The sequence below is a fragment of the Homo sapiens genome, chromosome 11 (genome assembly GCF_000001405.40).
Source record: "Homo sapiens chromosome 11, GRCh38.p14 Primary Assembly".
NCBI lineage: Eukaryota > Metazoa > Chordata > Mammalia > Primates > Hominidae > Homo > Homo sapiens.
Window position 1 is genome coordinate 127,388,321 of NC_000011.10, and position 12,648 is coordinate 127,400,968.

A 12,648-nucleotide genomic window follows, 5' to 3' on the forward strand; every position below is an offset into this window, starting at 1 on the left:
TATGCCAACCCCCCTTTCTTCCTCTGCATACCTCTGATCTCAGATCTCGGGTTGGACATCATGCTTAATATTGGCTTCTTTAGAACCAACACACCCTATCTTTTCCTGGTTTTTATTCTGTCAAATGTATGTATCATATCACACATGACTGAAACTTATTTTGCCATAAAAAATCTCAAGTATCTGTATCCCATTTTGACCATTCTTTTATTATGAGTATCTTCACCACTTACATATGTATGTATCTCAGTACTTCCTTGTATATAAATGCATAAATGACACACAAAGTGACATGTTGGTTGACTCATTTTATATCTGCTTTGAGCATGTCATTGGATAGATAACACAAAACTGAAACTCCTTGGGATAGATTATAACATTAAGACCTCCTTAGGAACAGTGTCTCATGTCTTATTAACTTTAGAGGTTCAAAGACTTTCCAATTGTGTAGCTTAAAGATTTTATACTAAAATTTAAATATATAGCCTCTTGGCTTGCTCTGAAGTGGATATAAAGGAAATGATCACAAAACCTGCTCAACCATTCATGCATTATTCCCTCACATGCTTGAATACTGGCACGAGATGTGGTTTCAGAATGTAAAGCATACATAAACCCACTTGAAGAATTAGCCCTTACCTAGTATTCCTACCTTGGGTGCACATAATGCTGCAGAAGTACTTCCCAGCATATTGTTCTACTCTCAGAATCTGTACAAAATACACTTAGTCCTTCACATTTTTTTTTAACAAACAAAACCTAAGAGAAATAATTCTCCTCCTTAGAAAGAAGGGCATCACTGCAGTTATTAATGATCTGCAAAGGGTAGACCAGAAGACAAAGCTTTGTATTTTGACCAATCTATTCTTGAGAAAATCCCCAAGAGTTGTGGTTTGTCTGTTTGTTTTTTAAAGGTGGAGGGCTGTCACTAAAAGGAATAAGCCCTAGGAGAAGAAACAGATGAGTATTTCAACCCGGTGCTATTTTGCTTTTGGTCTAGAAAGGCAAAATATATTTTTGCTAATAGATTTTTTTTTCTCCTGTCACATGTACGGCAGGTTATAGAACGCAAATTATGGTAAATCTCCTGCTCTTTGCATTAGAAACAAATAAACAAAAAATGCCAACCAAACAAAAGAATATGATTTATAATTCTCTACAATTGCATCTCTTTCCAGCAGTGTATAATCACACTGCCACTCTCATTTTACAGCTTGGGTGGGATGGGAGAAATCACGTTTTTTTTTTAACTTTTGCTGATAAAAAATAATAAGCAGAATAATAAAAGCCATTCATTTTACTGAGTGTATTGCAGAGAAAAAGCAAAATTCTGTGGCTATGTATTAATCAACTGGATTTGTACATGCAGAGTATTTGACTTAAGCTCAATCTGCTCCCAAATAAATATCCCCACAGCAGGTTATGCATTAGAGCCATTTTTCTCGGATTAAAATCTTCCAAGTGGAGCCTTCGGTGCTGTCATCGTTCAGGAACCTGAAGCCTTACTGGAGACTTTTGTTCTGATGGAAGTAGTACTTTCCTCCAACTGCCATTCCCCTGGGCTGCCTCAGGCTCATCAGATGCCCAGAGTACTCTGCTCTGTTGCTCCTTCCAGAACACTAGCTAGAAAGAGTGCTGTGGCTTCAGCTTCTAAAGGGGAAGGGGGGGCACAGTTTGTAGAAAAATTGGGGATCAGTTGAAAACAGGGTCAATATTTCTATTTAATGTTTCATGGGCTATTCATTTTTGTCAGATTCTAATCAGGAATGTCATATGTTACCTGCTCTGTGGTATATTCCATCTATCTATACATCATTTATTCATTCACTCATTCATTCACTCAAGCAAACATATTTGTTGATTAGTTAGCATATGAGAAGTTACATGAATATAATAATGAAAAAGATAGACAAGATCCCTATTCCCCTAAACCTTATTTACCGACATGGAGACCAACAATTAAACAGATTTACACATAAGCAGACTATTTATAGATTGTGATAAGATTATGATGGCCACAAAGAGATCAATGAGCTGGAGAGTAACTGAAAAAAGTCATTTCAAATAAAACAGCAATGGCCTTTGGGAGAAGGTGCTCCCTGAGCTGATATTTGAAGAAGGGACCAGCCCTGCTGCAAAAAGCTGGAGGAAGGGTGTTTCAAGTGCATGGCAAATGCAAATTTCCAGAGCTGCTCAGAAATAAAGGGAAGGCAGTGGAATTGAAGCATAGTTAGAGACAAGAAGAAATTTGAGATAAGAAGAAAGAAGTAGGCTATAAAACTGAGTGTGGACAGTATTTGAAATGCCATAGGATAGTGTTGACAGAGTTTAATCTAGGGAGTAATGCACTCTGATTCACAATTCTAAGAGATGACGTTGGCTGCCTGTGAGCAGATGTCGTAACGCTAGAACAGGGAGATTATTTGACGTCTGTCACCATAATCTGCAGAAGCAAGGGTAGCTCAGACTAGAGTGATGGCCATAAAGTTGGAGAGGATTAAAAGTATCTGACATATATTTTGAAAGCAAAACCAATGGAATTTGATGATGGAAGAAAGGTGGAGAATGAGGGCACAGTATATTTATGTGCAATGTAACAATGGTATTTGGCTTGATGCACTGTGATGCCATTTTATTAAATGGGAAAAATGGAAAGAAAGAAGACAGAAAAAAGATGTTTGGATAGGAAAAGGTTATCATCAGCTCCACATTGGACAGATTTTGTTTGATATGTCTATGAATATTTCCAAGTGGAAATATACAAGTTTGGTACTTAGGTCAGCCTGAGAGATTTAGATAGGGCAGTCATCACCGTAGCAATGGTTTCTAAAGGCATCACACTGAATAAGAGTGCCTAGGGAGAATATGTAATTCACAAAAGGAAAAGGGCTCAAGACTGAGCTCTAGGACATTTCAACATTTAGAGGTCAGGTGGAGAACTGTCAAAGGGGCAACTGAGAAGGTGCAGCCAGTGGGGTGGAAGGCAAATCAGAAGAGTGTGTTGTCTTGGAATCCTAGGGAGGAAAGTGGTTCAAGATGACAGAAGTGCTCATACTGTGTCAAATGCTAAGATCTGGCAACAGGGAGTACCCTGATTACCTTCAACAAAGTTATTTTAATGGAGTTGGGAGGCAGGAAAGACAAATTTGAATGAGCTTCATAGTAAAATGGTGCCAATAACAAAATAGACTACTTTTGAATATGTCCAGGTCCTTTGCTTGAGATAGTTATGAGCTTAGACTTTGTACTGAACTGAGTTTAGAATCAAGGTCTCAGGTTCCTTTTCTTTAAAATATGGATATTGGTTTCGCCTTCTTCATGGAATTATTTTGAAGCATACTTTAGATAACATATCTAGAAGACTTATAAGAAGTACCTGGCTCATGATTTGTGCTCAGTAAATGCGGATATTGAATTAGAACTTTTGACTGAAGCATAAAGATACAATCAATTTGAAATTCCAAAATGAGATGCCCGCTCACTGTGGAGCATTTGCCAATTAGGATTTCTTTGTGTGACTCTTGAATTTTCCTTACCCGCAGAGCCGCTAGAAAGGAGTCAAATATTTAGGAGGTTTTTGTAAAAGGAATTTCTGAGCGCGCCATGGGAGTCCTGTTGGCCCATGCCCAGAGGTCTCTTGCAAAACTTCCTGTATGATTTTGGCAGTTGTGGGATACGGTGGGCCCTCATCTGATTCACACTTAGAAAATCAAGAGGGCACCAGAGGAGGGCTTACGAGCTGCTTAGGAAAAAGGAGACCACAGCTACTTCACTGGGGTTATGAGCCAGGCGGTAGCCCCATAGAATAAGAGCCAGCTTGGGGGCATTAAAATTCTTTCCTAGTAGACTTTGAAGGAGTGCAGATCCCCATAGAAAAAGTCTGTGTGGGGTGAACTGATGACTCTACCAACAAGGAGCAGAATGTATGGTCCTCCATATGAAAATTGCCTTGTAGGGGCTCTGCAGGAGACACTCTCAGAACCCCAGAAAACATCCCAAGACTATAGAATCAACGCCTTAAGATAGTTCCATGAGATAAGCACTTTTCTTTTTTTTCTTTTTCTTTTTCTTTTTCTTTCTTTTTTTTTTTTGAGACAGAGTCTTGCTCTGTCGCCCAGGCTGGAGTGCAGTGGCTGATCTCAGCTCACTACAAGCTGCGCCTCCTGGGTTCAAGCAATTCTTCAGCCTCAGCCTCCCGAATAGCTGGGACTACAGGCACACGCCGCCACATCTGGCTAATTTTTTGTATTTTAGTAGAGACAGGGTTTCACCATGTTGCCCAGGCTGGTCAGGAACTCCTGAGCTCAGGCAATCCGCCTTCCTTGGCCTCCCAGAGTGCTGGGATTACTAGTGTGAGCCACTGAGAGATAAGCACTTTTCTATGCACAAGTTTAGCATTCCTCTCTTCTTTCTGTTCCCCTCATCAGCCCCCAGCAGAGTTGAAAACAACAGTAGTGAGTGAGAGACATAAACAAAGGCAGCAGAAGCAGTGAGCTACGCTGCCTTTCTACATGACAGGAAGATCCCCTGCCACAGACAGGCTGGGGAGAAAAGAAGCTTGGTCTTTGCATGGAGAGTGAAGTGCTGATTACCATATTGGATTAGATTTGTGTGAATAAGTCTCAGTAGGTGTGCCTGCCATACACACATCTTCAGCTACTGTAGCAGCCCTTGGTGGTCCTGGCCCTTGGAGCTCTGCTGTACAACTTTAGGGGTCTCAGCTCTGGAGAAGACTGGCTTGCTTAGGCTCCCAGCTGCCTTATTTACTATGAGACTTCAACCAGGCTGTCTAACCTCTCTGGTCTCAGTTTTCTCATAACACTATTTTCTACTTCTTGGCACTTATATGAGGATTAAACAAAACAAGGTGGAAAAAGTTTAGAATATTTGTTCTAAATAGAGCTGATAAATATGACCTGTTGTTATGACTTTCACTGACAGTTCAATAGAGGCATATTAATAAACCATCCTGGCATTTCCAACCATAGTAATAACCTAAGGAGGATTGGGCAAAGATGTTGATGAATCCCTATCACAATGCTAGGTAATACAGATTTAAGTCTAGGTGCTCACAATGGGCAGATAATCACTTGTAGCAGTTCCAGGCCTCATATCTCCCTCCCTCTGTATTCAGCCCATCTTCACCCTCGAACTCTTCTCCAGATCATGTAGATCAATTCCAATTTGCCCTTTCTTCCCAGTGAATTCTCACATTAATTCATATGTTATTCCTTTATCCATGATCTCAGCCCCTGTTGTAGTTGACAGTCTCCTTGAAGACAGAGGCCCTAGGACCATATCTGTTCACCAGTGGGCATTGCTGTAACACACAATTCTCCGATTCACTTTACTTGTTGACTCAGCAAACATTTTCCCCAAACACTTGAAGCTTCAGAAGAGAGGCCACGGGCTGGATTGGTGGTTTGTGGATTCAATTCCCCTTTCATTCCTATAAATAGCTGTTTTAATTTGAGGCTGGGGCCCATTTCTATGGGAACCTGGCACTTTCACTGCCTACAAATCAAGGATGTCAATCTTCCCTGCTGTCAACCTTTAACCAGAGCCAATTGCACGGGGATTTGTGTTGCCCACTTCAGTGTCCTTGGGCTATTTCCTTTCTGGTTTGCCTGGTCTTGGCTAAAAGTTCTGGAATCACTTCCCAGGAAACATTAAACTTTCTCTGCCATATATGTTCATGCTCACAACTCCTTAGAGTTTGACAAATTGTTTCAGTTCCCACCAAAGCCAGCTTATCTTGGCAAATCCATCAGACCTGCCAGCATTTCACAGAGGTTGTATAGAGGGGAGGATATCTTGTCTCAAATGGGAGCTCCTTTCTAGGTAGAATACTAATACATTTGCAATGTTCTGAGTCACAATGAGTACCTAGCACATTGTAGGCAATAACAATGACAACAGTTTTTATTGTTTTGGGATGCATATCCTAGGAAATGCTCTGAAATGCATTTTAGAGGCATCAACCTTAGCTATATTTTATACTTTGCCGTTTTAGTTGTGGCTCAAGTACCTTGGATCTAGTAGCTAGCAATACATTTGGTACTATACTTCAACAAATTCACTGAGTATTTAGGGAGCCTATTATGTGAAGACATTGTGCAAAGCCAACAGGGGATACCAAGATGAACAACGTGAGGTTCTCATCCTAGAGAGATGTTGATATGGTTTTGTTGTGTCCCCACCCAGATCACATCTTGAATTGTAACTCCCACAGCTTCCACATGTTATGGGAGGAACCTGGTGAGAGGTGATTGAATTATGAGGGTGGGTCCTTCCTGAGCTGTTCTTGTGATAGAGTGAATGGGTCACACGAGATCTGATAATTTTAAAAAAGAGGAGTTCCCCTGCACAAACTCTTTCTCTCTTTGCCTGCCACAATCCATGTAAGATGTGATTTGCTCCTCCTTGCCTTCTGCCATGATTGTGAGGCCTCCCCAGCCACATGGAACTGTGAGTCTAATTAAACCTCATTCTCTTGTAAATTGCCCAGTCTTGGGTATGTCTTTACTAGCAGTGTGAAAGCAGATTAATACAGATGTATAATCTAGAACATAAGTACACCAACAACTAAGAACAAGCCTTGACTAGAACAAGAGCCATGGGAGCAATAGGTGGTGAGCTCCATGAGTTTAGAAGAGAGGGAGATATCATGACTGGTCCCACAATCAGCAAAGCATTTTTAAGGAGGTGACATTAGCGAAGAAGGATTTTTAGGTGAGAGACAACCTCGGTAAACAATATCTAGGAAGGATTTCCTTCCTAAAGAAAAGAACAGGTTGGAGTGAGTGGAGGGTATTGAAAAGAGAAATAAATAAAGCCTTGAATCGAGGGTGAGGAAAGAGTTTTTTCTCAGCCACTAACAGACTATCTGAGCTTAATGAGTCACTGAAGGGCACAGAGCCCAGGTTTATCTGTAAGATAAGAAGTTTGAGTTTTGTAACCTTAATGTCTAGTGGTCTTTTGTTTTCCCTTGCTAAATAGCCAGGGCTTTTTAAGGCTTTCTAGTTGTGAGATATGTATTTCTATGGGGCGGTAAGTAGAGTATCTCTCTCTGGTTTTTTTTTTTTTTTTTTTTGAGACGGAATTTCTCTCTTGTCGCCCAGTCTGGAGTGCAATGGCGCGATGTTGGCTCACTGCAACCTCCACTTCCCGGGTTCAAGTGATTCTCCTACCTCAGCCTCCTGAGTAGCTGGGATTACAGTCATGTGCCACCACGCCCAGCTAATTTTTTTGTATTTTTGATAGAGATGGGGTTTCATTAAGTTGTCCAGGATGGTCTCAATCTCTTGATCTCGTGATCCACCCAACTCGGCCTCCCAAAGTGCTGATTCCAGGCGTGAGCCACCACGCCTGGCTGAGTGTCTGTCTTATCTAATAACGGGAAGTTCTCACTGCTTCTCCTTCAAATTGTAATTTTTGTTTGTTTGTTTTAAGGTCCTAGGTTTGAAAGAGCATGAATATTTTAGGTTTGTCTTCAGCAAACCCATCCAGAATTATACTCTCCTGTCAGACTTTTTCCCCAGTGTAGGCTGACCTTCTCACTGGCTCGTGAAGCACTTTATGAGCCATTCTTCTTCTCACCTTCTTACTGGTTCTCATGTTGATGGGTCCTCCTAATACCCACCTCATCCAACTGAGCTTCCCCAACAAGAATTCTTCATGCTGCTGCTCAAATTTCACCTTCCTTAAAAGTCTTCACTAATTTCTGCAGATCCATGGTTTCTTCTGTCTCTCTTTAAGTAGAAAAGCTATTTTCACTTGCAGGCAACTGAGCTGTGGGAATTGTCATTTTCATATTCTGTTTCAGGAGCATAAGTCTCCCAGCACAACAGCCTGCACGCTCCTTGGTGGGGCATATCCCACCCTTGCTTAGTGTCAGCAATGCCTTATTTAGTTCTGGAACATCGCTCTATCAACGCTTACTGATAAATCATTGTATCATGGAAGCCATAAGACTTCTCTAACTTCAAGTACAAATTCAGATAAGCAAAGAGATTCCTCTGTATGACCATGTTACTGTGGAGAGCTGTCAACCAGTTTTCCAGGGAAAACTTGAATTTTTGTTTTTTTTTTTAAATCTCTGGGAGGGAAGGAAGAAGAGGTTAGATATGTTTCCTCAGTAAGCTCTTCCTGGTTTCCTCATGTCACCTGACTGCTGTATGGAGAGTCACCGCTATACCTCTCCTTCCTGATGAAAGATGAAGTCAGCTGGACTGCCTGGGTCGAGTGGGGCATTGGAGAACTTTTCTGTCTAACTAGAGGATTGTAAATGCACCAATCAGTGCTCTGTGTCTAGCTAAAGGATTGAAAATGCACCAATCATCACTCTGTAAAAATGCACCAATCAGCGCTCTGTGTCTAGCTAAAGGTTTGTAAATGCACCAATCAGGACTCTGTAAAATGGACCAATCAGCAGGAGGTGGGTTGGACCAATTAACAGAATAAAAGCTGGCCACCCTGAGCCAGCAGTGGCAACCTACTCAGGTCCCCTTCCATGCTGTGGAAGCTTTGTTCTTTCATCCTTCACAATAAAGCTTGCTGCTGCTCACTCTTTGGGTCCACACTACCTTTAAGAGCTGTAACACTCACTGTGAAGGTCTGCGGCTTCACTCCTGAAGTCAGGGAGACCATGAACTCACTGGGAGGAGCAAACAACTCTGGATGCGCCACCTTAAAGAGCTGTAACATGCACTGCGAAGGTCCGCAGCTTCATTCTTGAAGTCAGCGAGACCACGAAACCACCGGGAGGAAGGAACAACTCTGGACGTGCCACTGTTAAGAACTGTAACACTCACTGCAAAGGTCTGTGGCATCACTCCTGAAGTCAGTGAGACCACGAACACACCGGAAGGAAGAAACTCTGGACACATCTAAACATCTGAAGGAACAAACTCTGGACACACCATCTTTAAGAACTATAACACTCACTGTGAGGGTCTGTGGCTTCATTCTTGAAGTCAACGAGACCAAGAACCCACCAGAAGGAACCAATTCTGGAAACACTGGGTTGGACTGACTCAGAATGTAAGTTCACCAAAAGGAAGCAATCAACACTTCAGGACTTTCACAGATTTTCCATGACTGAAAAATCAACCTGTCTGGTTCATTAAATGAGTTGTAAATATGGAGAAGGCAATAGACAATTAGACACGGTGGTGTTATATATTAATTGGCATTGTGTAAAAGGATTTGGAAGGGCTCTGCAAATGACAGTTCCAGGGCTCTTCCAGGAGGTGCATTCTTCTCATGGGGCTGAAAGCTAGAATGGCTAAAAATCCCCATGTGAGTTCTGTGCATTTGAAATGACAGAATTAAAACCCTGAAAACATCCACTGCTAAAAACACACAAAAAATTCCTCTTAAAAATAATTTAATACATATTTAAGAAAGGAATTAGCTTCCCTGAAGGAGGCTTAGTAAGTGGTGAAATTCAGTCATGGAGTCTCGGCCCTAATTTATGCTAAGTGGACAATGATTGATGCCAAATTGCAGAGGAATACCTAAGAAATTACCTACCACAGTAACACAAATATCAGAAAAATTTATCATAATTAATGGCATTGCGTTGAGAACCAAAGGAAGGGTGAGGAACGTGCATTTCTTATAAAGTGCTGACTATATTATTTGCTTCAGGTAATAATAATTACAGCACCCAGGCTTGCTAAATCGCCACGGTTAACATGCGGGAGTTGTAAACAAAGACACTAGCTATAGGCAGGTTCAGTTTAATCTTTAGCCTGAATGCAAGCTGCCTGTTTGTATAACATATCATGTGTCAGCGCAATCCTCCTATGTTTTGGAGGACTGGAGGTTAGCAGGAGCAAGATAATGCAAATCCCTAATGAGATCCCCCATCACCGGCTGGGGCTTTTCTAAAGAGATCTTCAGGGTATCAGAATAAAGCGAGAGCTCAAATAATCACTTTGGATTTCTACAATATCTATCACTCCTAACCTCAAAGTTTACAGAACCGGGGAAGTGGTACACATTTTTTTCAAATAAAAACAAAACGAGGGAAGAAACTGGCATATTTTTATTTGTATGTGTCATCTGAGATACTTTATGCCCAATCTCTTATTTAACCCTCATGACCATCCTGTGGTAGTAGAATTATTATTTCTATTTTACAAGTAAAGAATCGAGGTGAGGGAACATCCTGTAAACTTGTACCAGGTCACGCAGCTGGTAAGAAGCAGAGAGAGGACTACATCCAGATTCAGGACCCCCCTGTCTTCCCATCCCAGAGAGATCAGCCTGCTGCCTAGTATAGAACTGTGGTTTCCCTCTAGTGGGGCACCTATTTACTGAGAATATTTTGGTCCTTACTTCTGCACTACCACAAAGCCCTGTGGAAGTCATTCCTATGCCATATGACTCAGTGTCCTCATTTGTTAAATGTGTGAACCCTTATTCCAAATATAAATTCAACAGGGTAATTTTGCCAGAGCATTTTTAATAGGATTAATACTATATTACTGAACAGTGCTATGTGCCTAGCATTTGTATGATATACAACGTGTGTGTGTGTTTCAGGAGTGGTTGATTTACATTGATCCATTCACATTCTCTCATCTCGTAGGTATTGGCATGTAGATACTGTCTCACTCCATGGTATCAGTGGCCGGTCATAGTTTTTATGGCCTCAATGCCCCCAGGAATCAGGCTGGGGACCTGCACTGGTCCTTACTAACCCCATTAACCCTGATAGATATTTGCAAGAAGGACTGCTGGCATAGGCTGAAGTCTACCTTGGAGCTTTTCACTCACTTGGAGCTACTTTTAGTTGAAATTCCCAGGTTGTGACATGGCCGTAACCTCAAGGGGTGGTGGAATTATCCACAGCTCCTCCAGGATGGTTTTTATACATGTCTCATGGAAGGACCACATCATATTTTACAGCATGTATCTCCGTGCATATGTGCATGACCCCAGAGCCTCTGGCAGGCTGGTGAGGCCCATAGTTTCTTCACAGGATAACTAATTCATCCTGTGAGGACACTCCCATATCCTGACAACAGGCAAGGTTCTAGGATTGCTCTTCTGGGCCGCCATCAAAGCACTTGGATTATTCGTCCTCTGATGACTTATTCTATCTGTGTTACTTTACTGTCATTGTCCTGTTTCATTAAGCTGTGAGCTCCTTCTGAGTAAGAACAGCACCCCTCCCCCCCGCTTTTTTTTGAGACCAAGTCTTGCTCTGTCGCCCAGCCTGAAGTGCAGTGGTGCGATCTCAGCTCACTGTAACCTCTGCCTCCTGGGTTCAAGCGATTCTCGTGTCTCAGCCTCCCAAGTACCTGGGATTACAGCCATGCGTTACCATGACTGGCTGACTTTTGTATTTTTAGTAGAGACGAGGTTTCGCTATGTTAGCCAGGCTGGTCTAGAACTCCTATCGTCAAGTGATTTGTCCACCTCTGCCTCTCAAAGTGCTGGGATTACAGGCATGAGCCACCGCACCCGGCCTGGCCCCTTTGCAGTTGTCTATTGCCTTGCACTTGATCTGGCACCTAGTAAATGTTCAACGAATGGCCATGGAATGAATGGAAAGGGATAAAACACCCTGAATGGGCATCACTGGCATCAAACCCACAAGCCTGGTCTTATTATTACAGTGCCCAAATCACCAGAGCTAACCTGGAGACCTCAGTCTAATCTCCAGAAAGAAGAGGATCCAAGAGCAACACCACGAAGGTCAGAAAATTGGCATCTTGTGTCAAGTTAGAATCCATTGACTGCCTTGTGTTTCCTTTGCTAGTTGTACTTTGGTGTGAGAAATGAGCAGAGATACAGAAACAAGAAAGTGACTTAACTTGTAAGGTTCTTGGTCCCTGTCCCCACCCTGCCCCCACAAGGAAGTGTTATCTTCAGAGCGGCTGCTGCTGTCATCCTGACGGTTGTTCTTTTTCTCTGATAGATACCACGCAGCTCCTTTAATGGAGCGTATACTATATGCAGAGAGTTGATAAACCTAATGACCAGGAAAGCCACCGTGGGCTTTCTTGACTTTGGACTGACTTCCAGAGCCTAGAGCCTAAAGAAAGTCAAGCAGCGTTCAACTTTATCCTTAGCATAACTTTGCCAGCAGTTTCCCGAACAGTTTGAAAGAATGGCAAAGGAAAACAGAGAGCTCCATAAGAGGTGACATCCCACCAGAAAGGACTGTGGGCATGTCAGAGCTTCTCTAGGGAGGTCTGAAGAGTAGTCATTTCCTAAAAGAAACTGAATTTGGTGCTTATTTTCCGATGACCAGAAAAGAAACATGTGTGTTGGGATGAAGGCAGAGGACAGCAAAGGAAGATATTTGGTCCTGAATTTAGTTTCCCGAGAAGCAGGATCAGCTGAGAAAATTTTACAAAATATATGCCAAGAGAGTACTTAGAGTGGAAAGATTACATAGTCTTTGGGCACAGTTTCAAATTTGGACACAACTCTTGCTATGTGACTTTAGGCAGTGATTGACACTCTCTAAGCCTCAGTTCCCTCCCATGTCATATGGAAAAGCATGGCTCTGCAGTGCATTGCAGTAGGAACTAAGTAAATAATATATTCAAAGTCCTAGTGAAATGCCTGTCACCTAACGGGTACTCGGTAAATATTTAGTTTCTGGTACCTATCTATAGTGGTGAACAT

General features: G+C 42.1%; 1 annotated feature.

The window, feature by feature from the left end:
• Positions 4,155-4,713: an enhancer, noted in NCBI's record as "OCT4-NANOG hESC enhancer chr11:127262370-127262928 (GRCh37/hg19 assembly coordinates)". NCBI's record gives its function as "activates a minimal SCP1, AML or CMV promoter by ChIP-STARR-seq in primed H9 embryonic stem cells {active_cell/tissue: H9 hESC(primed)}" and the evidence as "EXISTENCE:reporter gene assay evidence [ECO:0000049][PMID:30033119]".